Source organism: Homo sapiens, chromosome 20, assembly GCF_000001405.40.
Source record: "Homo sapiens chromosome 20, GRCh38.p14 Primary Assembly".
In the NCBI taxonomy this organism is placed as follows: Eukaryota; Metazoa; Chordata; class Mammalia; order Primates; family Hominidae; genus Homo; species Homo sapiens.
Window position 1 is genome coordinate 37,894,673 of NC_000020.11, and position 26,437 is coordinate 37,921,109.

Sequence of the window (26,437 nt, forward strand, 5' to 3'; positions counted from 1 at the left end):
TGTGTGACTTCAGCCCAGCCACTTCATCTCTCTGAATCTTCGTGGTTTCAGCTGTAAGATGGAATGAACAGTCCCATCCTTGTCACGAGGATTTGGTGAGATAAATCCTGGTGTCTGGCACACAGGAAGCGCTCAACAGATGCTCATCCCCTTCTCCTGTGTGGGGTCCATGGAGATACTAGGCCCAGGCCTCCCTTAGAGGCATCTAGCTCTGTGCTGTCCGCTATGGTAGTCATGAGCCACACGGACCATTGAGCACTGAAAATGTGGCTGTCCAAAATTGAGATGTGCTTTAAGTATAAAATGCACACACCAGATTCTGGTGGCTTGGTATGGAAAAAGGAACGTAAAATATCTCAGTAATAATGCTTTATATTGATTATGTGTTGAAATGATAATATTTTTGATATATTGGGTGACATAAAACAGATTATGAAAGTTAATTTCACCTGATTGCTTTTACTTTTTTAAAATGTGGCTACTAGAAAATTTAAAATTACACAGGTGGCTCGCATTTTACTTCTGTTGGACAGCATCGGCCTAGCTAATTACTCACAACCATGGAATATTTAGACTGGCATTAACCACGCCATTAAAGTCAGTTCAGGATTTTAAAAACACTCCTACAAGCAGGGCCTTGTAATTGGCAGAGACCCTGCTGTCCCGCGGTGTTTAATAAGCACTTGGTTTGCAGGGTGAAGGGCCCTAGGAACCCCTCCCTGATGCAATTAATTGCCTTTGATGGGGATTGTCATTAGGCTTCTTGCTGGGACAACACAGATACGAGCCACATGTACTTACTGGCCTTGGTAGAGTGCAATTTGTGGGTTTAGGTTCAAATCTGAGGGCCAAAGCCTGGAGGGATACTATGGGCTGAATGTGTCCCCCAGATTCATATGTGGAAGCCCTAACTCCCAATGTGGCTGTACGGTATTTGGGGTAAGGAAGTAAATAAGGTTAAATGAAGTAGGAAGGGTGGAGCTCTGATCTGATAGGATTAGTGTCCTTATAAAAGAGACAATAGATATTAGGCTGGGCACAGTGGCTCAAGCCTGTAATCTCAGCACTTTGGGAGGCCAAGGCAGGCAGATCATTTGAGGTCAGGAGTTCAAGACCAGCCTGGCCAACATGGTGAAACCCCGTCTCTACTAAAAATACAAAAATTAGCTGAGTGTGGTGGCAGGTGCCTGTAATCCCAGCTACACAGGAGGCTGAGGCAGGAGAATCGCCTGAACCTGAGAGGCAGAGGTTGCAGTGAGCTGAGATCACACTACTGCACTCCAGCCTTGTCTGAATAGAGTGAGACTCTGTCTCAAAATACATAAATAAATAATAAATAAATAAATAATGAGAAGAGACACCAGAGAACTCCCTTTCTCCCTTCCTCTTCCCTCTCCCACCCTCTTCCTCTGCACATACAAAGAAGAGGTCTTGTGAGCACACAGCCAGACAGCAGTCACCCCCAAGCCAGGAGAAGAGGCCTCAGAGTGAAACCTATCTTGCTGGCACCTTCATTTTGGACTTTCCAGCCTCCAGAACAGTGAGAAATAGATTTCTGCTAATTTCTGCTTAACCAGTCTGCAGTGTTTTGTTACAGCAGCCTGAGCAGACTAGGACAAAAGGTTCTTTGGGCCTCGGAGAAGTTCCCTCTTTGGGAAGCCACAGAGCTGGATGTTTTTTGAGGAGCTGCTTGGCTGCACAGGTGATGATGGATCCTGTCTGACCTCCTCAGGCAAGTGGCATGTGGAAGAAGGACCCCGGCCTAGAGTCAGGAGACCTGGGTCTTTGGCCTCGTTCTGCCATTCCCTCACTGTGAGATCCTAGGCTTCTCTCCATGTCTTTCTAGACCTCAGTTCCTCTGTCTGCACAAAAGGGACATGAGGATTGATCTTTGATGGCCTTCTCCGTTAAAAATTAGAGATGCTGGCTGGGCATGGTGGTTCTCGTCTGTAATTCCATTCGCCACAGTGGGAGGATCGCTTGAGGCCAGGAGTTGAAGACCAGCCTGGGCAATATGGTTAGACTCCTATCTCTACAAAATATTTTTAAAATTATCTGGGTGTGGTGGTGCATGCCTGTAGTCCCAGCTACTCGGGGGCTGAGGCGGGAGAATTGCTTGAGCCCAGGAGTTTGAGGCTGTAGTGAACTGTGATAGTGCCTGCCACTTTACTCCAGCCCGGGCAGTAGAGTGAGACCCTGTCTTAAATAAATAAATTAAAAAGATGCTTTAAATTTAAGTTTTAGGTTTTAGATTATGTCTTCACTCTGTGTGGTCCACTTAGACCGGAATCCAGAAGAAAAATGTCAGGGACACTCCCTAGGACTTCTGGCAAAGGCAGGAGCCAGAATGAATGAATTTCCTGTGCCCAGGCCCCCCTGCTGTCCCTGGCTCCTAGCCCTTGGCCCAAGCATGGCTCTCAGCCTAGACAAGGCCTTCCTAGGAGGCCTAGGAGCCCTGCGGGAGGCAGAGTGCAGATAAAGGCTCGGAGTCCGTCCATGTGGAAAACCTGGGTCTGCGGCGATCGTGAACCACATGGGCAGAGGGGCCAGACCTGGGGTTCCTATGATGGGAACATGATGTGACTGTGGAGGCCAGTCAAGGCTCCTGCCAGCGGTGAGTGGAACAGATAAAGAAATCAGTCATCAGAGGAGAGAAGTACCCCAGACCGGAGTGGGAGGTCACATATCGGCTCCCTGTGCTGCCCTCCAGAGGGGAACTGGGGCAGAGGGGCCTCCTCATTCCACGAGGCTGGCTGGGCTCAATTCAAGGAACCCTTGTCCTCCCACCTCTGTTGGAATCCTCACTGCAGCCCACTGGATCCCTGCACGAGACACACCTGGGGTGCTTAGTGAGCAGGCAGATTCCCAGATACCCACCCCGAAAAGCCAGTCTGAAAGAGAACACCCAGGGGTGGGGCCTGGCCACAGCCAGCCTCTCCAGAGAGTCTCAAGTCCAGTAATATCTAATAACTCTGTGTTTAGGCCAATGGTGTTCAATCCTAGCTGTGGACTGTGATCACCTGGGGAATTTTTTTTAAACCCTGATACCCAGATCTCACCTAAGACCAATTATGTCAGAATCTCTGGGGTGTGCCCTGGGCACCCATATATTCTTAAAGCTCCCCAGTCGTCCCAGTGTGGGTCCAAGGACTGCCCCAGCTCCAGATCAATTCTAAGAGCCTCAAGATGAACATCTGGGGAAAAGGAGAAGTCATGAGTCTCAGATAAGAGAAATAACTTGCCCAAGGTCACACAAGGTGGTGATGGCAAAGCCCGTCCTGAAACCCAGGCCTCTTTCCTGACCGTGGGCCAATTTCTTCCTGATGCTGCATCTCTTTTTAAAAACCAGAGCCCAGGCAGGCAATGCCCACAGTATTTCACTTTAATAATATTGGAAACCGGTACAGTCAGGGCCACCACAGTGGTGGGGCGGGAGCCTCGATGGCGATTAGGGGAGCTGTAAGTCTTTCGCTTTATCCAAATCTTGGGCAGTAATTTAGAAAATTTAATTAAAGGGGGAGAAATGGGGACACCTCGCGCTCCCTGCCTCCTGTTATAATGAGTGAAATACACCAGGCTGTAAAAGGAAATGCTGTCTGAGACGCAGCTCCGATGTTTTATTGCCAAGTTTTATTCACTGATGTAAACGTAATCGCTGGAAACCGGAGCTCTTATTAACACACATATTTTCACACATCCGGGGCCCCTCCTGCTCCCCCCTCTCCCTCTGGGCTTGTTCACCCACCTCCTAGGGTCAGCCCTGCTGCTTTCTGGGCATGTCTATGCCAAGCCTGGAGTTCCGCACCGGTTTCATACCCTCCCATGGCAGATAAGACTTTAATAGAATTCCATTGCTCCTCAGAGCTCAGTAATGCATTCTGGAAATTAGGCGGCTACATACTAAAGCCATTGTTCCCCCTTATAAATGGGCTCTCTCAAAGCCAGTGACCATGGGGGCTCTGATAAGCTCTCATGAAGCCTCACTCCACATGTTATTGGTGTGCTAAAAGGTGCAACTCCAGGCTTACATTGCTCATTGTTAGGGGCTGATACATTTAAGTAGTTTCTCCATGAATCAGGCAGCCTAGGTATTTCCCCCACTCTTGGCATTGATAGATGAGCAAAAGGAAGCCATTTAGATGGTGCTATATAGGGCTCCAGCCCACGTGGTGAATGATTTCCAATGCCTGGTTTAATTTATTTTTAAATGAAATTTGTTATTGATTCTGGATTAAAAGGACAAATCTTACAGCTGTTACCACTGACAGAGCCACAGTGCTCAAGTGACACCTCTCAAGGAGGGGAGGGAGGGTGGCCTGTCTGAGTCAAGGGGAGGGTATGGAGACTCTCCAGGGAGCTTGGCTCAGCAGTAAGGGGCAGTGCAAGATCCCATGCTTAGAGGGAAGTTTAAAAATATCATCTTTCCCAATTGAAATACTTGACGTGATGCTCACCTCTGAGCCTCATTTATATAATGGAAATAGCAGTGATATTTGCCTCATGGCATCCACACGACCACTAGAGGCATGTTAGTTGCCTCCAGGGATGGGAGGCTTTCCATCTCCTGCAGCATTCCCAGAATGAAATGAGTGACAGGCGTCACCCACTCTAGTGAATTCCTAGAGACTGTTTCCTGGGCTAGTCTTTGCTTACCTTCTGCCTCCACTAGGCTCTCGGCTTCCACGGTGCCCAGAGATTACACTTGCATTGGGAAGCAGACAAGAGGCACAATTACACAGGGGAGGAGGATGGGCTGGGATGTGTCCGTTCACATTCAGCCTCTGCCCTACCTCACTGTGCAACTTTGTGCAGGTTACATCATCTTTCTGAGCTTTGTTTCTCCATCTGTAAAAGAAGGAAGGGTATAATAGCAGCCTCAGGGGTTGTTGTATGAATTATAGGAGATCATGGGTGTGAATGTGATTTGTAAACTGTAAAGTGTAGTTTAGGTGCTGCAGGAAATACAAGTGGGACAGTACAGTATAGTGGGAGGTCTCTGAGTTGGGAGACAAAGGACCTGGATCCAGTTCTGTCATGAGTGGCTGTGTGGCTCTGAGAAAGTGAATTACTTTCTCTGGGTCTTAGTTTCTTAAGGTGCCAAGAGGGTAGGTTGGAATCAAACATATGAAATGTTTGATTGGCTCTGGAATCAAACACATCATGGCCTTGCTATGTCGCTTTAGGCAAAATACCTAACCTTTCTGAACCTATGTCCTCATCTGTAGATATCAAGAACACTAGTCAACATGTATCATGTATTTGCCATGTGCCTGGCATTGTTCTAAGTGCTTTCCATGTAACAACTCATTTAATCCCCACCACCCTGCTGTGAAGGAGGTATTATTACCCTTGTTTTACAGACGAGAAAATTGAGGCACAGGGAGGCTAAGCAACTTGTCTAAGTTTACACAGCTACCAAATGGCAGGATTCAAAACAGAGAATATGGCTCTAGAGCCCACACTTCTAACCACACCATCCTACCCTACCTGGCCTGGTGGTTCTGAGGATTAAGGGGAATAATGAAAGTTCTTAGGGCCATGCTGGGCATACAGTGATGAGCCAACAGAGGCTTGGGGACTGGGAGAAGGCAGCAGGCATTTCTTCCCATGGGGACTCAGGCTGGACCTCGCCCAACTGGGGACTCAGCTAGACAGAGGGGAAGGCATACAAGCACAGGGGAAGCACTGGGAAGGTTGAAGATGTAATGAGGCCAAGGCATGCCCAAGAGAGCACAGGATATGTGCAGGAGGTGAGTCTGGGACCCTGAATGCAAACTAGAGAAGTCAGGATTTCTCACATAAACAGGCCATCAGAGGGTTTTTTTAGCAGAACCATTATATCATGAGCATTTTCTTCTTTTTTCCTTTTTTTTTTGAGATGAAGTCTCACTCTGTCACCCAGGCTGGAGTACAATGGTGTGATCTTGGCTCACTGAAAACTCCGCCTCCCAGGTTCAAGCGATTCTCCTGCCTCAGCCTCCTGAGTAGCTGGGATTACAGGTGCCCACCACCACTCCTGGCTAATTTTTGTATTTTTAGTAGAGATGGGATTTCACCATGTTGGTCAGGCTGGTCTCGAACTCCTGACCTCGTGATATGCCCACCTCGGCCTCTCAAAGTGCTGGCATTACAGGCGTGAGCCACCACACCTGGCCGATCACGAGCATTTTCAAAGGCATACAATCCCTGGATGTCTGTCCTTGAAGGAACCTTGACCTTGTTCCAGGCTTCAAAGAGAAAAGATTTCTGAAGGTCAGCCGGTGGGCTAGGGGCACAGCAGCAATGTGCTGCCATCCCGCCAGACCCCCTTCCTCTGCAGGCCTGAGCAATCTCTTGTTTACTCCTCTTTAATCTCCTCTCCCTCCCTGTCCCCTTGCCTGTGTCTGCTCCCTCCAATCTGTGGTTTAAGAGGAGAAAGCCCGGGTTTGAGTCCCAGTTCTGTCACCACAGTCTCCTGGTGAGGCCTCAGGCTGGGGTTGAAGGAGTCCTGGGTTTTAGTCTGGCTAACATGGTGGCTGCTATGTGATCTGGAGGATTCTCAGTTTCCATATCTTTATGATGGAAGCAGTAGTTCATTTCGCTGGGAGCGGGGTTCAGGGTAGTTAATGAATGAGAAAACACGTGCATAGAGTCCAAGACGCCTGGCCAGCCCAGGATAACCTAAACACCACCTCTGTGTGGGAAGAAAGTGAGAAGTGAGAGAATCAGGCAAACACGGCCCCTTCCTCCAAGGCATGTGGTCCAGAAGGTTCGGGGGGTGGGGGAAGCGGTCGACGCTTGGGACCTGTCCTCGGTACTGAAGGGAGCGCGGGGGCTGTGGACGGTGCTAGAACACAGTGCTTGTAAGTGCGGGACATCGTGGAGGAGGTGTCCTTAGTTTGGAAGGAGCTGGATTGTTGCTGGCTACCACGGGCCCCATCCGGTGTGCTACCCCCCCCCCATAATACTGGAAGGGGGGCGCTAAGACAGAGGGAAGACGGCGAGGGGCTATGTTCCTTGGTCTCTAACCTTGTTCTCAAACTTGGGCGCTGTACACACGGCTGGACGCGGGATCCACCTGTGTTCTGGAGTGGGGAGTGGGCTGTCGGAGGGGTTGACCCTGTTCGACGGGGACGGGGAAGAAAGTCTGAGGGTCTGTCCACGGTGTGAACCCTAGCATCAAAGGGCCAGTTGAGACGCTGTCCACGGTGCCCAAAGGATGGGCCCGGGTGGGGCGGGGGGCGGGGGGCGGGGGGGGGGCTGGCGCTGTCCTCCTCCGTGGTGCTGAAACCGGGAGGACCAGGCTGTGTGAGCAGGGAGGCCTGGGGAAGGGCAAGGGATGAGAGCAGGAGGGACCCCGCCCAGGAGTCAGGGGCCTCGCCCGACTCGCCGTGGGACCTCAGAGAAGCTAATTACCTGATTTCAGGCGCTTCCTTATCTTTTAAATGGGACCACAGTTCCGCCCTCCTGTCTGTCCCATCAGCCCCAGTAACACGGCTTGGGAAGGAACTGGAGGACTTTGTTGGATTCTTGCTCTTGGGAATGGGAATGGTGCCCTATCCCCCTCCCCTGCCACACTCACACACACATACACCCACGCATACGCGCGCGCACACGCACACGCACACACACACTCATGCACACACACACCATCAAGGCTCATTGGTCTAGGGAAGGAGCCTACAGTCCAGAAGGGGGCGATCCCATCCACCACATAAGGTCCAGTATCTTCAAGAGCCAGGAGCCGCAACAACTAACTGGCCTGTCTCTCTCCCATTACAAAGACTCGAAAACTGAGTCCCAGAAAGGGGAACACCGACAATAATAACTACTGAGCTCCTACCACGTAGGCAGCATTATGCTAAGCGCTTTGCATGCACGATTTCGCAAATCCTCACCAGGACCCCCGCAGACAGCTATTACCCCTATTTCTCAGATGAAGACTTCGAGGTTCAGAGAGGGGTAGACACCCGGACGCGATCACACAGCGAGCCGAGGTCGGCGGCAGAGCTATCACCAGGTCCCCTGGGTCTCAGCCCAGGCTCCCACCCTACCTCGCCCTCACCCCCAGCCCCACTGGCCCCTGACCCCGGCCCCGCCCTGCCGGTAAAGTTAGGAGCCTCTGAGTGCGCTGGCCTGGCGGCGGGTGCCCTGGCTTTTCTCCCTCTCCCCGCTGGACGGCATTTCTGTGGCTGAAGCCCGTTGGGTCGTGCTTTGCGGGAACCGCGTCCCTGGGGTGGCTCTCTCCGCCCCATCCCGGCCCCGCCTCCGCACTCGGGCGGGGGAAAGTTGCGGGTACCGCTTTAAAAATCCCAGCCTGGGCAAAACTTTGATGATAAATCAAGCGGCAGATCCCTCCGCCGCCTGCTCCGAGCGGGAGGAGGGAGGGGAGGAGGGAGGGGAGGAGGGAGGCGGGAGGAGGGAGGAGGGTGCGGCGGCGGCGCGGCGTGGCCTTCCGCGGAAGGGAAGAGTCCCGCAGTCGGAGGCGGCCGGCTGGGCGTGCGCTCGCTCCCCGAAGCCGGGGCTGGGCCGGAGCCGGGCGAGGGCTGGGAGCTGGGCCGGGTCCGGGGACAGCGGGCGAGGGGCAGCTGCCGGAGCCGGGCAGCCAGGCCGCTCAGGGCAGGGGACAGCTGGCGCCGGTTCTGCGGTCTCCGGGGCCCAGATGTGAGGCGGCGGCGCCCCCGGCCCGAGAGCGCACGATGGGGGCCCCGCTCGCCGTAGCGCTGGGCGCCCTCCACTACCTGGCACTTTTCCTGCAACTCGGCGGCGCCACGCGGCCCGCCGGCCACGCGCCCTGGGACAACCACGTCTCCGGCCACGGTGAGTTCGGTCGCCGCCCCCGCGGACTTCCCCACCAAACCCCAACCCGGGCCGCGCCACTCCAACTTGGCCGCCCCGGGGCTCGAACCGGCGCCAGTCGTGGCGGGCATCCCGGGGCGCCCCCTGCCGGCGCGGTGGACCCGCCCTGGCACCCTGGCCCTGCAGAGAAGGGGGCACCCGGGGCGCACCCCCGAACCTCCTCCCCACACACTCGCGCGGATACGCACACCTGCATGGCCACACCGATATGCACAGCCGCGGACACACTCAGAGCCACAGTCGCTGCTTTCTCACACTCACAACTCCTACCCTGCACATCTCCACACACCTCAGGTCCCCCTCCTCACTGCAAGCCTTTACACTTATGCCCACTACACACGCACATCAGGCACTGCGCCGGTGGGCTCACTCTGCCAGCTGGCGCACACGCTTCGCCACAACTCTTGCCTGCCCACCTGCAGACACACTGGTGCGCGCGCGCGCACACACACACAGGCACACACATACACACACATGAACACAATTTGCTCACCCACTCCTCTCTGCCCATCTGCCTTTACTCTTCTGGGTTTAACCGCACAGAGGCCCTTGTCCTCTTCCTCTCCACACCCAGCCCTATACCACTGGAAAGGTCCTTGGGGGCAGAAGACCTTGTTTCTTGAGAACTGGTCGCCTGGGGCTGCAGCCTCCCAGTTGGGCGGGTGGCACCTGGTGGAAGCCCCTCAGAGCCACCGGAGTAGTTGGGGTTGCTGCTTGCAGCCAGAGGCATGGGAGTGGGAGTGGAAGTGGAATGCCGGGTGCTTTTGTCTGCCTCTGGGGATGGGCAGGAAGCCGTGCCATCCTTCCATAGGGTACCCCCATCCTCATCCTCGGCCCTAGAGGACTGAAATGTGGGAAATCTCAACTCCAGCCGCTGTGGAAGCCGGGGAGCAGACAAGCATTCCCAGCACTGGCTGGCTGAGTGTCAGAAGCTCCTGCTAGCCCCGAAGGAGCCCAAGTTGGCAGCAGAGTTGGACTGTATGAGCCCGGCAGCTGTGGGGGCTCCCCCTGACCCCTGTGAGCCTGGCTCTGGGATGGAGGCTCGAGCATAGATGAAACCAAAGGAGACCTTTCTTCCATGCAGCCCTTCACTAGACAGGCTGACAGCCTTGTTGGGGAGGCTGCAGCCCCAGTGCTGGGCACTGTGGGCCCAGGGCTGTGGGGAGGTTTGCACAAAGGCCAGATAATTGGATGATTTATTCTGATGGGAGTGAGTGGGGGTAAGGCAGGGTAGATAATCAGGGAAGGTTTTGCTGGGGTATGACACATGAGTGGGATTGCTCCAGTGGAGAGGGGGGCTTCGAAGCCATCCTCAGGGTCTCTGCTTTTTGGGAACCATGACTCCCCGCCCCCTTCTGCCTCACCATGTTTGGTAGTAACTGCTGTGTGCATCATTTACATACCCTTCATGCCCCTCACCTCATTTCTACCGACCTGGCTAGAGCGGTGGTAAATAAGGAAAGGGTTCTTTTGATCCTCAACTTACAGATAGGGAAACCAAGGCTCAGAGAGGTGAAGGAAGTTGCCCAAGGTCACACAGTAAGAGAGTGACTGAGCCAGGACAGGCCCCAGGGTCTGTCAGGCAAAGACAGCGCTTTTTTCCAGGACATTCATCTCCCTGTCAGATTCCCTCCCATTCTAGGGAAACTGGGAATTCCTCCCTCTCCACCCCTCCTCTCCTCGCTCCGCTCAGTCCCTTGGCACAGTTGGAACTTACACTAGGAGGGGTTTCCATGGAGGGCCTTCCCTGAGTTTGCAGTCCCGAGGGGTATGAGGAATGGGACTCTGAGGCTTATGGTCGTTCTGTCCCTAGAGCACCAGACCCCAGGGACTTGGGTGCCAGTCTGTTATTCCCAAGGCCCCAAGGTGGCTCCCCCCCATAGAAAAGCAGGGTCTGTCTGCCCTTTGTGTGACAGTCTCTACCTGTCCCCTGGTGCCAGGTAAGCTGAGGGGGCACAGCTCTGCCCAACCAGCTGTAATCTCCCCTCTGCACCCTGGAAGGTCAAGCTAAGGCCCAGGACAGGGGCTAGATGAGAAGGAGGCACCCCTAGTTGCTGGGGAACCTGGCTTCTCTCCTGAAACCCCCGTGTGGCTCTGGGCAAGTGAGCCACCCCTCTGGGTCTCCCTGTGTCCCTAAAGAAACAAAGAAGCCAGGCTGCTCTGCAGGGGCCAGGCTGCCTTCCCCCGACATTGCCAGGTTCAAAGTCACCAAGTAGTGACTGCCGAGGAGCCCCCACAGCTGCCCCTCTGCCGTGCCAAGCACCCGCCACCACAGGAAGGGTTTGGAGCCACTCACTTAATCACAAAAAGAAACTGTTATTAATGATAGTGAGACGCGGCGAATAAGTGGGTCATGTCTAATAAGCTATTTGTGTTCAGGAGGAGAATACCAATTTGATAAAAGCTGTGTGTGCTGAAAAAGCTCAGAAATTGCTGTTTAGCAGATTGGGGCCTGATCATTTCATTATTCCTGGGCTCCGTGTGTCCTCAGCTGATTCAGGAAATGTGGCCCAGTCGGGAAGGTGTCTCTGTGTCTGGGGGTGGGGGGTGGGGGCTGGAAGCAGGGGCTCCTGGGGAGGGGCACATTGACCCCAAGTGCTTGGTGGCTGCTCACCCCTCCAACTCCATCTGAGCCCAGCCCGGCCGCCGGGCTCCTGCCTTCCACCTGCCTGCCCTGGAGCTTGTCACAGGGAAAGCCTGCGGTCAGATGGGTCAGAAAGGACATCTGTTTTGCTTCCCATCTCCCTCCCACCTCCACTCAAGGTACTTGGAAGAGGGCTTTTTCGAGGTGTGAGGAATGAATGGGGAGCATGTATCTCAAGGAGGCATCAGGCACTGGGAGGTGGGGTGGTGATGGTCCGTGTCTGCACCTAGTAGGTGCTCAATAAACAGGAGTGATTTTGATTTTTTCTTATCAGAAAATGTTAACTCATTGCCCATGGGCACAGCAGGGATGGGAGGAAAAGGTGCAAGCATTGATGAAATGCCTACTGTGTGCCCCGTGCTGCCAAGCCCTTGCCAGTGTTAACTCACTCAGGCTGACCATTCATGCAAGGTTGGTGTTGGAGATAGGAGGAAACTGAGGCTCAGAGAGGGCCAGTGACTTACCCAAGGGTGCTGAGTCTGTACAGAGAGCTGGAAAGCTGTGTTTAAGATGAAGATGCATCTGGCAGCTCTGGGACTGCCTCCTCCAGAACAGCCTTGAGGCAGGCTTGGCCATGGCGTCTTCCTTCTTGTAGCCGTAACCCAAGCTTTCTCCCTTCTAGCTCCTCAGGGAACCAGTAAAGCAGTGGGTTCCACCAAGAGGAACCAGCCACTCAGAAAGGTGGCAAGATCTTGCTGAGGATACCTGTAGGTTAGAAACAGGCAGCTGGACTGGACCCCAGGATCTTTCCAGATCTTGTCCAGGGGAGGGATCCAGAGGGCAGGGTCTTTGTGAAGATCTCTGTAGACCCCTACAGCTTGCAGAGGACCCCTACAGCTTGCAAGAAGCCTCACATGGCAGAGTCCCCCAGGGAATTTTTTACAATGCAGATCCCCCAAACCCGCTGCCAGAATGGTTATTTGATGGGACCCTGGAATGTACATTTTATTATTATTTTTTAATTTCTCTTGAGACAAGATCTTGCTCTATTGACCAGGCTCGAGTGCAGTGGCACAATCTCAGCTTACTGCAACCTCTGCCTCCTGGGTTCAAATGATCCTTTTACCTCAGCCTCCGAGTAGCTGGGAGTGACAGGCATGTGCTACCACCCTCAGCTAATTTTTAAATTTTTTGTAGAGATGAGAGCTCATTATATTGCCTAGGCTGGTCTTGAACTCCTGGGCTCAAGCCATCCTCCCTCCTCGGCCTTCCAAAGTGCTGGGATTACAGGCATGAGCCACCGCATCTAGTGGAATCTGCATTTTAATAAGTTCCCCAGAGGATTCTCATGCAGCCTGGGATTTGGAAGCCACTGCCTAAGTATTTACCCATACCTGGTGGGAGATGTAGGGACAGGAAATGTCTGACGCTATGGACTGGCTTGGTTTGGTTTCACAGGGGAGGGAGAGGTCCAGACAGGGGCAGGTGGATGGTCCCTGAGAGGAGCTCCAAGAAGCCTCACACTGCAGCAGACAACTCCCCTCCCACCCCCACCCTGCCACACACACACACCCCTACACACACACACACCCACACCCACCCCTAGGCCAGCACCTTCAATTATTCATATACCCCAGTGCAGACAAAGATCCTGGCTTGGCCGGGGGCTTTGTCCATTGAGTGATTCACTGTCCTGAGATTCTCTCTGTTGCCAGGAGGGACCAGCAGGGTGCTGGGGGAGGGAGGGGGCACCGGGCCATTTGGCAAGCAGCCTGTGCACTGAAAAATGACTCTGGCTTCCTCGCATTCCTTACTGAACTGTTGGTATCTCACCATCAATAAGCTGGCTAGTTTGGTGGCTGGAAGATGAAGAAAATTGAGTCCTGTCTTCCAAAGGTTATGATGTTAAAAATGTGTTCGTCTTTGTCTCGGGCGTTGGTGATTATTCTATCAATTACGCCTGTAAACACTCTGCCTTGGGCTGAGGGTTTCCCGGCCTCCTGTGGGGAATTGGCCCTCACAAGCGGTTTTCCCCAAGTCCTTCACACCAATTGGTTTTGACACCTTGCCCATCAGCAGCTCCTGCAGCCTTTTCCCCAAACAAGAGAAGCCGCAGGCGGCCAGCAGGACGCAGGGAATTTGGCTCCTTGCCATGGTGACAGCAAGGATGGTGGGCAAAGTCGCCTGCGGCAAACAAGTGGGCAGGGTGAGGGGAGTCGGGTAAGTGACCCCTTCTGATCCACCGGCTGTGGGGGCAGGAGATGGAGCTTTTGGAATGAATCATGGAGGCCCCTTGGGACCATCGTCCCAAGCCTCTCTCTTACAGATGAGAAGACAGAGACCCAGGGGCAAGGGAGAATTTGCCCAGAATTGCCCTGGAGGGTACTTCTTGGCTTTTGGGATTACCTCATCCAACTCTGTACAAATGGAGAGATTGGCTGGGCACGGCGGCTCATGCCTGTAATCCCAGCACTTTGGGAGGCTGAGGTGGGTGGATGACTTGAGCCCAGGAGTTTGAGACCAGCCTGGACAACACAGTGAGAACTCATCTCTACAAAAAAATAGCCAGGCATGGGTACGCACCTGTAGTCCCAGCTACTCAGTAGGCTGAGGCGGGAGGATCACGTGAGCCCAGGAGATGGAGGTTGCAGTGAGCTGAGATCGTGCCACTGCACTCCAGCCTGGTTGACAAAGTGAGACCCTGTCTCAAAAGTAAATAAATAGATAAAAATAAAAAGAGGAGAGATAAACATATGGAAGCAAGTGTGTGTTGAGTGCCATGCCAGGGCCTTGAATGGTATCATCTCATTCAATTCTAACGAGAACTCCAAGAGGAAAGACTGTTTCGGGCCCACTGTTTAGATGAAGAAAATGAGACTCGGGGAGGTTAAGTGGCTTACCCAAGGTCACACACCTACCAAGTGTCAGAGGCTGGACTTGAACTGAAGAATCTGGCTTCAGGGCTGGGAGTCCAAGGAAAGAGGAGGAAGAGGCCCACGTCACACAGAGGGGAAGAGCAGGGCTGGGACTTGAGGCTTGGCTCTGGGGTGGAAGGAGTGCAATGGCCTCCGCATTCCACACCCAGGAGGGCGAGCAGCAGTGGGAACAGAATGCTATCCCAGCGACCCTCCAACTTCCCTCGATTTTCGAAAGCATGGGGAGAGTGTGTAGTGTGAACAGCGGCACAGGTGCCCACGTGAGAGTGTTTGGCCATCACCTTGGACTTTGGGGACCAAACCAGCTGCTGATGGTGTTGTGGGAAGACTCTCTCAGTCCTGAAAGGAGTTTGGGGCCCGCTGGGCACACTGGGGTCAGATTCCCTTGTGTCCTGGGACCCAGGACAATGCCCGGCCCAGGGAGGTGGCAGGGAATGAATGAATGGATGACGAGGAGGACGAAGCAGGGGATGAGGTCTGAATTCTTAAAGCTTTGCTCATTCCAAGTCAATATATTTTTAAACATTCAAATGATTTTAATTTCTTAAGGAATCTATGTTTATAGGGGGAAAAAATCACAAAATTGGAGCCCCCTCCTTATCCCTGCTGAGCAGAGCAAGGACATCCTGGAGTGGGCAAGGCTGATGGCACCTTGCAGTGGGTGGGCCCAGGCTCTGGCCTTGGGGTGCATATGTGATGCTGCAGCCATGAGGATGGGGGAGTCCAAGGGTCGCGCCCTTCTCCCCTGACCCTGATGAGGCACTTGCATCAGAAAAAGCAGCAGTGGTCCAGCTGGGGAAGAAATCTGCTCCTCTCCTAGCTGCTGGTCCTGGGGTCCAGAGCCCACCCAGCTGGCTCCCCCTGGTTCCCACTGCTCCAGAGAAGTGAGGTGGCAGTGGGGAGGCAGAGAGGGGCTGCTGCTCCTCCAGGTTCCCTTCTCACAGCCAGGCCTCCCTTCCCTTCCTTGAAGCCATCAGGGCGTCCCTGGGACTCAGCTCCACTTCACCCCCAGTTTCAACCCTCTTCAAAACCCCCCAGGGCCCGCAACAAGATTGGGTCCTACCGGAGAGATGATTTTAGGCAGAACCTAGAGAAACCTCTTACATTTTAATAGTTAAGCATTTATTTTAATGTGTACTGAAAAAATATAACTAGCACATCAAAACTGTGATTTCACACATATGATTGCTTAGGATGAGACTAATGGGGGTATTAAAAAATGGTGGGTTAGTTTATAGAAAAACATTAAGGACATAATAGCGCAGGCGGTGCGTGGGCATGTCCGTGGGGATCCACAGTGTGGACATGACTTGGAGACCCGGGGGCATCCAACAGGCTGCCCTGTCACACTGCATGCTCCATACTCTTCATACTGGGAGCTACTGGCCTAATGAGGCTGCTGCCATGTTTGGGAAGCTTGGTCATTCATTCATTCTTTTATTCATTCAACAAATATCAATTGGGCACCTGTCATGTGCCAGGCTCTTTTAGCCACTGGGAACTTATCAGTGAAGAAGACAGCTAAGGTTCTTGCTCTCTTAGAGTTCTCAGTCTAGTAGGGGAGACAGAAAACTGAACCCATAAAGAATATGTAAGTATAGAGCTGGGTGCGGTGGCTCACACCTGTAATCCCAATGACTCAGGAGGCTGGGGCTGGAGGGTCACTGGAACCCAGGAGATTGAGACCAGCCTGGACAACATAGTGGACCCTGTCTCTCAAACAAAAAAAATACAGAATTACCCAGGTGTAGTGGCTCATGCCTGTGGTCCCAGCTACTTGGGAGGCTGGGGTGGGAAGATCACTTGAGCCCAAGAGTTCAAGGCTGCAGTGAGCTGTGATTGCACCACTGCACTCCAGCCTGGGTGACAGAGTGAGACCCTGTCTCTTAAAAAAAAAAAAAAGAAAAAGAAGAAGAAGAAGAAGAATATATACGTATTGTGATAAGATTTAAGAAGCTGGGGCCGGGCGCAGTGGCTCACACCTGTAATCCCAGCACTTTGGGAGGCCGAGGCGGGTGGATCACAAGGTCAGGAGTTCAAGACCACCCTGGCCAAGATGGTGAAACACCATCTCTACTAAAAATACAAAAATTAGCCGGGCATGGTGGCGGGCACCTGTAATCCCAGCTACTCGGGAGGCTGAGGCAGAGAATTGCTTGAATCCAGGAGGCGGAGATAGCAGTGAGCCTAGTGAGACTCCATCTCAAAAAAAAAAAAAAAAAAAAAAAAGCTGGGATGATATTAAACACAGAAACACAGAGAAGGACACTCACCTGTGGGGCAGGGAGGGTACCCAGTAGTGAGCTCCCTGTCACAGGAGGTGTGCAAGCTGAGCCCTACCCGTTATTAGCTGGGGATATTAGTGAGGAGATTTCTGCCTTATTTCCCAAAGGAGCAAAGACTGTTGAAGTAGGCAGAGCAGCCAGAACACAGCGGGCGGCTAATAAAGATCCGTCACACGGCAATTTAGTGTGTGCTGGCACAAGGGCCCAGGTGGGTGGAGCCCCCAACGCCGAGGATGCCCTGGCCCTACCCAGGGGTCATGGCAGGGATGGGGCCTTCTCTGTCCCCTGTGTTGAGGCGTGGGGGACAGTGGCTCCTCGGTGACTTCACTTCAGCTCTTAAAGTGCCAGGATGGGGAGAGGGGCTGGGGTAATGCTGTTTTTTGTCTACTATACTCCCCTCTCCCCCACCCTGTGCCTGCCTTGCTGGGTGACTTGGCATGTCCCTGCCCCTCTCTGGGCCTCAGTTTCCCCACTGAACAATGGTGAGTTTGCTTGAGCTCCAAGCCTGTAGAATTCTTCCATCTGTATACTTAGAAACCACATCTTTTGTCCTGCAGCCAGCATGTATGTGCGTGTATGTGTGTGTGTGTGTGCATGTGTGTATGTGTGCGGGTGAGGATGGAGCTGGTGGGAGTGGTAGGATTCCATCAGCACCTTAACTCTCAGTGGCCTGCAGGCATCTGCGGACCAAACAGCAGCCAGCGTTCATCAAGAACTCTGTGTTTTCATCACTTCCCCTGCCTCCTCCCATTTACTCCCCACCATGCTAGGAGGCGGGCCCTCCCATTTTACAGAGGAGGACACTAAGGGGCGTGGTGCGACTTGCCTGAGGACACACAGATGCTGAACAGCAAAGCCGGGCTTGAGCCCAGCTTGTGGGACGACAGAGCCAGAGTTCGTAGCCTGCGCATCTGTCTGCTCCTGGCTGCCAAGCTGTGTGTGTGGGCAGGTGCTTTGTTCTGGAGCAGCGCTCCTGGCTTGGTCAGATTCTCACAGGGGTCAGTGATGCCAAAATGCTGAGAATGCCCTGTTCTGGCTACAAGCACATGGCTCCAAAAGTCTAGGCTCTGCGTCTGGGTCCAGCACTGTTAGTGGGAAGCAGTGGGGCTCTGGGGGCATGTGTGAGACCCTGTGTGTTCCTGCCTGGGGGTTCTGGTGGATGGAGCGGTGTTTCTGTCTGACTGTGTGGGTGCGGGCTGTGTCTGGGGGGTGACTGTGTGTGGTTGAAGGGGCAGTGCAGGCTGAGAGGGAGCCTGGGGGCAGGTCAGGGCTGGGCTGGTGCCCTCTGCCCTGTGCCTGTTTGCCTCAATACCAGCCTTCCCTGCCACCTGCACACTGGTGCCCTTGGAGGTGAGGCTATGGGAGCATCTGGAAGGTTAGAGCAGGAGTCAGAGCCGGGAGAGGGGGCCTTTCTCCAGCAAGCTACCAGCGAGCAGGGCAGCAGTGCCCACCCGTACCTGGGAAGTGCCCTCCACCGGCCCCTTACTCTCTGGATCTCTCTCTCTCCCTGCCCTACTGCTCTCTGGGTCTCTCTCTTTCTCTCTCCCCCTCTCTCTCTGGGTCTCTCTGATCTTTATCTCTTTTCCTCTCTATCTCTGTCTTTCGATCTCTTTCCTCTTTCTTTGCTCCTTTGTGTCTGTTGGATCCATCTTCCCCTCTCTTCTCACCGCCCCCACCCATTCCTTCCTTTCTCTCGGGTATGCACACAGCTCTCTTCGATGACATCTCAGGATTACACATACATATATTCCGTATATCATGGTGACACCCACACAGAGCAGGCACTCAGTAAATGTCAGGTGAATGAATGAGTGAGTGACCAAATGGCAAAGCTGGAGGGGACACTGACGCTTGTCTACACTGGTGGTTACTAATTTTTTTGGAAGTCACACTCCTCTTAAGAAGCTTATGGAAACTATGGATTGTTTCCTCAAAAAAATGCCACAGAGTTTTGCCCACAAGCTTCAAAGGGTTTTTTGAGGCCCCCAAAGCCTGTCTCTGGCCCCAGGCAGAAGTAGCCTTTGTTTCACGGGTGAGGAAACTGAGGCCCAGAGAGCAGTCAGGGCTGGCCTTGGGACATGGGACAAGTCTGTGGCAGGGACAGGCTTGGATCCTGGAGTCCTTTCTCTCTCCCTGCAGCCCTCTCATGCGAGCTGGGTGGGAACGAACTTCATTCACTTTTCCTAAGTCCTTGGTAAGCATACTCAGAGAGCTGGGGTCAGGAAGAGATAATGGGGGACTCTTCAGGATCCCAGGGAACAGTGCATAGGCAGGTGGGCCAAGAGAGGGAGGTCTCTAGAGGGAGCTCACTGTGTCCTAGAGCAGTCAGGGGAGACTTCCTGGGGGAGGCAGGTTCCTTCTGGGCCTGTATCCAGGGACTGCTGGGGCTGAGAGGGGACTCCAGAGGCCAGAGTGGAGCTGCGCCTGGCTGCCTGGGTCTGGCAGAGGCCTCGTGGAGAACCATGTGCATGTATTTAGAAAAGCAGGCTGCAGCTGGAACCTCCAAGAATCGGCTCTGGAGTTTGGTCTTACCCCTGGAGAAGGGGGCAGCCCTGGAAGCCTTCTGAGTGGGGAGGGCGCACGGCCAGGTTGGCGTCGGAGTGGGTTGGCCGTGGTGAGTGGAGATGGGGAGCTGAAGCAGGACTTGGGGCTGGATGCGGGCGTGCACGGACAGGAGAGGCTGCTCCCGGGAAGGCGCTGAGTTTGGTGTGAGCCTTGCTGAGTTTGTGGTTCATGGGATGCTGGGGCTGGCCGGTATCCAGGGAGGGTGGGAACGTGGGATCAGAAAAAGAGGGAATTGTGTGTGTGTGTGCGCGCACGAATGTGTGTGTGCGTGTGTGTATGTGTGTGGTGTGTGTGCATATGTGTGTATGTGTGGTGTGTGCATGTATGTGTGTGTATATTGTGTGGTGTGCATGTATATGTCTATGTGTGTGTATATCTGTGTATGTGTGGTGTCTGTGTGTATATGTGTGGGTGTGTGGGTGTGTGCATCTGTGTGTATGTGTGTGGGGTATGGGTGTATGTGTGCATGTGTGTGGGGTGTTTATATATGTGTGTGGGTGTATGTGTGGGTGTGTGTATGTATGTGTGGGTATGTCTGTATATGTGTGTATTGTGTGTATGTGTATGTGTGTGTGTATTGTGTGTATGTGTGTATTTTGTGTGTGTGTATTGTGTGTATGCGTGTGTGTTGTGTGTGTGTGTACACTGGCCTCCTTTCTAGTCCTTGCACACACCAAGTTCCTTCCAGACCTTTTCTCTCCCTGGCTGTTCCCTCTGCCCCTCGTGCTCTCTTCCCGTCTCCCGGCTCCTGGCTCCCCTGTGCTCCACGGACCCCTTAGAGAAGCCAGAAGCACATGACCTGTCAGAGCCGCATCGCACGGCCCGCAGCAGGCATCGGGCTCCCATTCAACACGCCCACCTTGCAGAGGGGAAAACTGAGGCTTAGAGAGGCGTGGTGAGCTGGGGCCCCACACCTAGTTCAAAGCAAGGGTGCAGAGCCCAACCCTATGTTCCCCCAGCCCGGCATTTTAAGGGTGTCTCTTGGGATGGGGGTGGGGTCTTGACTGACCCCTCCTTCCTCAGAGCCCCCAGGCTGGGGCCCGAGGTGGGGAAGGCGGAGAGCTGACGGCGGGGTGTCTGTTTTGCTTTGTGAGGTTTTAAAAAAATCATTTCCGGCGTTGAAGGCGGCGGCAATTAGGGCCTGCTCGCTGGGGAGCTGTTTGCCGCCTGTCGTCGGTCCGGGAAAGGGTCCCTAATGGAGGCCCGGCGGCCAGAGCGCAGGATAGTGGAAATAGTGCTCAAAACAAAGCTTCACTAATGGTCTCCCGGCAGGCAGCGGAGGAGAGGGAGGGGCGGTCGGACAGCGGCTGAGGGCCCCTGGGACAGGGCCCAGATCCACCAGCTCCTCTCTCCATGGCCCTCAGACACCCTCCAGCTAGTGCGGGAAGCCCCGGGCCCCACCCGCGCTGCTGCCTTCTTGCTCTGTGCTCTTGGCCTGTGAAATTCCCTCCCAGGCTCTGGGAACACTAAGCGCCAAGGTCCTGGGGTGGGGCCCAACCCCTTCAGCCATGAATTCTCTGGTTCTAGAATAGCCCTAGGGTTTAATAAGTCCAAGGGGCCCGGAGCCTTGAAGAAGGAGGAGCTTCTTCAAGTAGAGCCAGGCTACGTGAGGAGGTGACAGGAGAGCAGCCTGATCCTGTCCGGGAGCCCACTGTGTGCCTGCGTGATGTCACTGCAGCACCGCTCACAGCACCCATTTTACAGATGAGGAAACCGGGCTAGAAGCTCAGAGATTCACCTACCTTGAGGAGGTGCAGTTGGGTTGAAATCCAGGTCAGCCTGACTCCGGAGCCCACATATTTACTGTTGCTTCCTTGAATTTCGCAGACACGATTGGGCAGGGGTGGCAGGGGCTGGGGCTGGGGCATGTACTAGGTCCTGGGTGGGGGGTCAGGTTTGACCGAGGCCAGGTTCTGGTCAGGGTGGGGCCACCACCACCCTACCCACTGGGCACCCTCAGAGCCTCTGTTCTGGAACATCCCAAGTGCCTGCCTCCATCTGTCCCTGTCCGTTGGTCTCTGCCTCCCCTTTTGCCCCGTCCTTCATGTCCCTGGCCCTCCTGCCTCCACCCTCAGCGCCCCTTACAGCCCTCACTGTTCTTTCTCCTCAGTGGCTCTGAGGCTGCTCCTTTCTGGCGTGCTGGAGCAAATCCATCCCTGTGATTGATGCAGCCTCCTTTGCTTCCCCCACTTCTTCCCTCTTAGCCCCTCCCGGCAGCAGAGGATGGCTATGCGCCTCGGCTTTGGGATCTGACACTAAGGCTCAAATCCTGCCCCGCTCCAGCCTCTCTGAGCCTCGTTATGCATCCGTGCAATGGGCTCACCCCACTAGCTTTGCAGGATGTACTGGGGAGAATGAAAATAAATGGTATCGGTAGAGACGTCGGGACGCCTGTGTGCCTGCTCCCGGCTCCTGGCTCCCTGCCCCCGCCCCTGCCCTATCTCTGGCTCCCTGAACACTCCCGCGCTTGCCTCCCTCCCTCCCACCTGCTCTCACTCCTTGTGGCCCAGACATGTGGGAAGAGGAGGCGGGAATTCCACTGGGGAAACCTGCTCAACTCCCACAATCCTGCAAGTGCCAGAATATTTTAGTTCTCCTTAAATCTCCCTAGATTTGTAATTCTACTGCTGTCTACCTCAATATGTGCTGGTGGCCTTGGGAGGCGCCCTGCTTCCAGCTTGCCGGCTCCAGCACTTCCTGCTCAGCTATGTCGGGGTGTCTGGCAGGGAACCTGGGCAAGTCCCCACCCACTCCGTGCCTCAGTTTCCCCATCTGTAAGAAGAGGACAATGATAGTGGCCACTTCCCAGGTTGTTTTGGGGATTAGGTAGGATATTTTATTGTATTAAAGAAACACCTCTATGAAAAGTAATGAATTACTGATGTGTGCGACAATGGTAGATGAACCTCAAAAACTCTATGCTAGATGAAGGAAGCCAGTCACAAAAGACCACATATTATATGATGCAGATGATATGAAATATCCGGAGTAGGCAAATGTGAGAATGCAGATTTGAGGTTGCCAGGGGTTAGGGGAGAGTGGGGAGTGAGGAGTTTCCTTCTGGGGGGAAGACAGCATGTTGGGACTAGTTGCATCACATTGTGAATGCACTAGATGCGACTCAATTGTCCACTTTAAAGTGGTTAATTTTGGCCAGGTGCGGTGGCTCACACCTGTAATCCCAGCACTTCTGGAGGCCAAGACGGGCGGATCACGAGGTCAGGAGTTCAAGACCAGCCTGGCTAATGTAGTGAAAGCTTGTCTCTAGTAAAAATACAAAAAAATTAGTCAGGCGTGGTGGAGGCCGCCTGTAATCCCAGCTTCTTGGGAGGCTGAGGCAAGGAGAATTGCTTGAACCTGGGAGGCGGAGGTTGCAGTGAGCAAAGATCATGCCACTGCACTCCAACCTGGGCGACGGTGTGAGACTCTGTCTCAAAAAAGAAAGAAAAAAAGAAAAAAAAAATGTTAGCTATTTAAATTTTTACTAGGCAGGGCGGCCCCTCCTCCATCGGCCAGAGACAGGCAAGGACCCACCTGGGTGAATGTGCTTGTGTCTAAGGCTCAGCAAGGAGTGGGTTCCACCAGGGAACAGCGGTTGTTGTGGACCTTCTGGGTGCTACACACTGAAACAGGCTCTTCACTTGCATTTGCCCATTTAATCCTCAAAATAAGCCTGTAATCAATGACACAGTGGGAAACCAGAGCTCAGAGTAGTGAAGCAGCTTGCACAATGCCACCCAGCACGCCAGGGAGAGCTGTGGCTTGCATCCTCACCGTAAATCCTGGGCTCCCCCTCGCCCTAGTGCCCGACCGTCCCCCTGGCCCCTTCCCCTGTTAGCCACCACACCAGCACTTCCTGTGGGTAGAGCACAGTCTGAGCTCTGCGGAGCCTGGGGTTGCGGAGAAGGAGGCTTTGGACTGGATGGGACAAGAGGCCGTTGATGGCGTGCGGCCCACGCAGGAGAGTAAACAGCTCTCACCAGGGGCAACATTTCTTTGATGTCTCCTATTTCATTCAAAATTTATGACTTCTATATTCTATCCCATAATATATTCATGTTTGTTTTAATACAAAAATAACGTTCTTGTCCCATGTTTCTGGAGTGAAGTCAATGCCTCAGGAAGTTGCTTTCCTGGTTTGAGCAGCACAGACCATAAAGGGGTCATCCATTCATTTCTTTGTTCATTCATTCTCCAAGTATGCAATTCAGGTATTTTCATTCCTTAAGTGGGTGTTAGTTCTCACTACGGGCAAGGATGCTGTCCCAAGAGCCACACTGGAAGAATCGGCAAGATTGGGATAGGGAAGTGGCAGGGAAGCTTTCCAGGTATGTGGCCCAGCAGGAGCAAGGCTTGGAGGTGGGAACTAGTGATGGGTTGTGAGATTGGGCCATGGCCATCGGAAGCCAGGGCTGGTGCTGGGTGCCCGCTGGTGTCCACACTTGAGCAGGACCTGCGTCCCAAGCCCCTTGTGATTAAGAAGAAAGTCTCTGCTGGTGCTTCTCTGACTTTAACACCTAACCTTCGCCAGTCTCCCTTGTTAATGAGAAAAAAACGGAGATTGAGGCTCATAGCCTTCAGCAGGCAAGCTTCTTTGGCTAGAATTTACGAATGCTGTTTGGTTTTCATAGCGTTTATTTTTACAGTTACCCTCTATTTATGGCAAGTGATGCTGATTTTTCATTTATGGCGGTAATAAAAGTCTTCTTTTAACCTGAATTTATTTAAGTAAAAGGGGAAAGATGCTTTGAAAATAAATATTAAGTAAATAATGGTGCATGTGGTACAGGGACCCTGTGGAAATGGTGATGGCAGCTAAAAGGCTGGGCTTGGGAGACCCCTCTCTGGTATGCCCTTTTCTGTTCTGAGTCCCCTCTGACTGTGCAAACCTCAGTCAGCCTTCAGGTCCAAGCAAGTCCCCTTCTCCTGGTAACCTCCCCTGACTCTCCAGGCAGACACGAGCCTATCTTTCTCCTAGGATCTTCTAGAACCTGCACCTCCTTCCATAGCTCCAACATGCAGTTTGCCCTGCATAACCCTGGGCAGCACTATGATTCATGGCCATATGAACAGTGCACATTCTGAACAACTGTACATGGCAGTCCAGGTTCAATCCCAGCCATTGTTCCTATAGCAGTCTCTGGCATGTGTGTCTCTCCTGGGGACTGCAGGCTCCCTGAGGGCAGGGGCCTGATCTGTGGCATCCTGGGAAGCCTGGCACGGGGCCTGGCTTAGGGTAGGGGGTCCATCAGAGCTGATCTCTTCCATTCCTTTTGAGGGAGGACTTAAGCTCCTACTGCACGCTGAGGCAGACACCTCCCACCAAGGCATGCTGCAGTTCCCTAAGCTTTCTTACAAAATGCCTTCTTCTTGGCTTCTTAGGAAGAAAGCCCATCTGCGTTTGTTTGCCTGTCCCAAGGTGAAGCAACCTTCATGAACTCACACCTCCATTCCTCCTGCCGCAGGCACCTGTCAGGGGCCAAGGGCTACCCAGAAAGAAACAAAGAGAACCCTCGGGTGCCTCCCTGGGGAGGAGAGGGCCCTGGACACAGCCAGGCTTCTCTGTTTCTGGAGGGCTTTTCCATCCTGATTATCTGGGTTTTCTTCTTATGGGGATTTTATGTCTCCTGATTTTAGAAGCCAGCTGAGATTTACAGGCGGTTGGGCTGGGACCTCATTAAATCCTCCCTCTCCAGCCCTTTCCCCGGGAGAGCTCTTACTCTGCTTCCCAGCTGGGAGGCAAGGTGGCCACAGGCCTTCCTGAACCTGGAGCACACACACCCTTGTGGCCTTGCCACCCAGCTGAGCTGGGCATAGAGCAGGCTTCCTGGAAATGGCCCCAGAGAATCACACTTTTTCTAGCTGAAAAGGATGGGGCTTAGATAAGATTTAGGCTTCAGTGGGGGAAATTTTGCAGCCAGCTTGAAGTCAGGCTGAACTCTAACTTGTCCCTTGATGCTGTGTGATCTCAGGCACCGACTCTCCCTCTCTGAGCCTTGGCACTTCCTCTGTGAAATGGGGCTGATAATAGTACCATCTCATCAAGTCTGAGAGGATGAAAGGGGTCCTGTGTACAGTGTCTGGCATAGAGGAGGGGCTTCCTTCCTTCAACCCCGGGGCAGGAGACTGGCTCCAATGGCCCCCAGGTTCTCTGAGCTTTGGTTTTCTCACGCTGCTGGAAAAGGGCCAGGTATGGAAGTGGGCAGTGGCTGCAGAGGCTGTCGATGCCCCCTTACTCTGTCTTCATCACTGCAACAACGGAGCCAGCAGAAACAGGGAAGTGTTTGAATTCTAGAGTCCCAAGGTCTGGGTTTGAATCCCAGCTCCTGCTCCTGACTTGCAGTGTGACCTTGTGACACATGTCCCTGAGCCTCAGTTTCCCTGCCTGGAATAAAGGGACAATGATCCCTGCCCAGCAGGATCACTGTGAGCATCATATGGGATCAGGCACATCACCTTCCTGTTGCATCGTGGGCTCCAATCAGAAAGATGATGCCACGGGGCTGCTGGGCTGGCCCGTAGCCAACAAGGGTTGGGGAGCTACTGGCGAAGCAGCCACCCACTCCTGGCACTGTCAGCCTTTATTTATTGCCCTGTTTCATTCTTGGTTGCGTTTCACAAGATGACTTTATGGGCCATCTCAGGGGGAGCCTCCAGCCTGCCTGTCAGTCTGGCTGGGTGGCCCCTCAGCTGGGCCAGGTGGGCCAGGCTGGCCTTGGGCAGCCAGTGGCCACAAGGGCCAGGAGGAGAGGGACAGTGGGGAGGAGGCCGGCCTGCCAAGCCTCACTTAGGACCTCCCTGCTTATGCATGTCCATAGTGTCCACATGTCTGTCCCTATCCCTGCTCCTGTGGGCACAGTCCCCCCAGGAAACTCCAATCTGGCACATAGTAGGCATCCAATAAATGTTGAGTGAATGAATGAACTGGATGAATGAATGAATGATTTCTATGCCTATTGGTTTTTTCCTTAGAACTTCAATCCTCTGGGCTTTTGTCTGACCTTCCTTTCTCCCTTGATTGATTGATTGATTGATTGATTCATTCATTCATTCATTCACTCATGTGTTTAGTACATGCCTAGCCACCTCCTGTGTGCCTGATCTGGGCTGGGCAATGCAGGGTCCCTGACCTGGGAGAGTTCCCAGCTTGCAGGAGACCCAGACACCTGTCATATAACATCTGTCATATAACACACTCCAGATGTCATATAACACACTCAGCATCTGTC

General features: G+C 53.5%; 1 protein-coding gene and 1 long non-coding RNA gene across 4 annotated transcripts in view, besides 6 other annotated features; one reads left to right on the plus strand and one right to left on the minus strand.

Annotated features, from left to right (window-relative positions):
- Positions 2,687–2,736: a silencer, noted in NCBI's record as "silent region_12895". NCBI's record gives its function as "represses an Ori minimal core promoter by ATAC-STARR-seq in GM12878 lymphoblastoid cells {active_cell/tissue: GM12878}" and the evidence as "EXISTENCE:reporter gene assay evidence [ECO:0000049][PMID:35858748]".
- Positions 3,609–24,320, minus strand: LOC124904896 (uncharacterized). 2 transcript variants are annotated; one of them, XR_007067576.1, is made up of 3 exons: positions 20,951–24,320; positions 11,947–12,187; positions 3,609–4,845 (listed from the first exon to the last, which is right to left on the minus strand). It is a non-coding gene; the product is annotated as an uncharacterized LOC124904896 (long non-coding RNA). The 2 variants fall into 2 exon arrangements; XR_007067577.1 differs by lacking the exon at positions 20,951–24,320 and having other exon boundaries at positions 11,947–12,489.
- Positions 7,755–8,718: an enhancer, noted in NCBI's record as "H3K4me1 hESC enhancer chr20:36530829-36531792 (GRCh37/hg19 assembly coordinates)". NCBI's record gives its function as "activates a minimal SCP1, AML or CMV promoter by ChIP-STARR-seq in naive H9 embryonic stem cells {active_cell/tissue: H9 hESC(naive)}" and the evidence as "EXISTENCE:reporter gene assay evidence [ECO:0000049][PMID:30033119]".
- Positions 8,455–26,437, plus strand: part of VSTM2L (V-set and transmembrane domain containing 2 like) — a 42,224-nt gene continuing 24,241 nt past the window's right edge. For both annotated transcript variants that reach the window (NM_080607.3, XM_011528530.2), the window contains exon 1: positions 8,455–8,799. In NM_080607.3, the coding sequence (NP_542174.1) occupies positions 8,679–8,799 (121 nt within the window). In that variant the 5' untranslated portion in view covers positions 8,455–8,678. The remainder of the gene's footprint in view (positions 8,800–26,437) is intronic.
- Positions 14,633–15,133: an enhancer, noted in NCBI's record as "H3K4me1 hESC enhancer chr20:36537707-36538207 (GRCh37/hg19 assembly coordinates)". NCBI's record gives its function as "activates a minimal SCP1, AML or CMV promoter by ChIP-STARR-seq in primed H9 embryonic stem cells {active_cell/tissue: H9 hESC(primed)}" and the evidence as "EXISTENCE:reporter gene assay evidence [ECO:0000049][PMID:30033119]".
- Positions 19,541–20,388: an enhancer, noted in NCBI's record as "NANOG-H3K27ac-H3K4me1 hESC enhancer chr20:36542615-36543462 (GRCh37/hg19 assembly coordinates)". NCBI's record gives its function as "activates a minimal SCP1, AML or CMV promoter by ChIP-STARR-seq in naive H9 embryonic stem cells {active_cell/tissue: H9 hESC(naive)}" and the evidence as "EXISTENCE:reporter gene assay evidence [ECO:0000049][PMID:30033119]".
- Positions 20,389–21,236: an enhancer, noted in NCBI's record as "NANOG-H3K27ac-H3K4me1 hESC enhancer chr20:36543463-36544310 (GRCh37/hg19 assembly coordinates)". NCBI's record gives its function as "activates a minimal SCP1, AML or CMV promoter by ChIP-STARR-seq in naive H9 embryonic stem cells {active_cell/tissue: H9 hESC(naive)}" and the evidence as "EXISTENCE:reporter gene assay evidence [ECO:0000049][PMID:30033119]".
- Positions 22,555–23,056: an enhancer, noted in NCBI's record as "H3K4me1 hESC enhancer chr20:36545629-36546130 (GRCh37/hg19 assembly coordinates)". NCBI's record gives its function as "activates a minimal SCP1, AML or CMV promoter by ChIP-STARR-seq in naive H9 embryonic stem cells {active_cell/tissue: H9 hESC(naive)}" and the evidence as "EXISTENCE:reporter gene assay evidence [ECO:0000049][PMID:30033119]".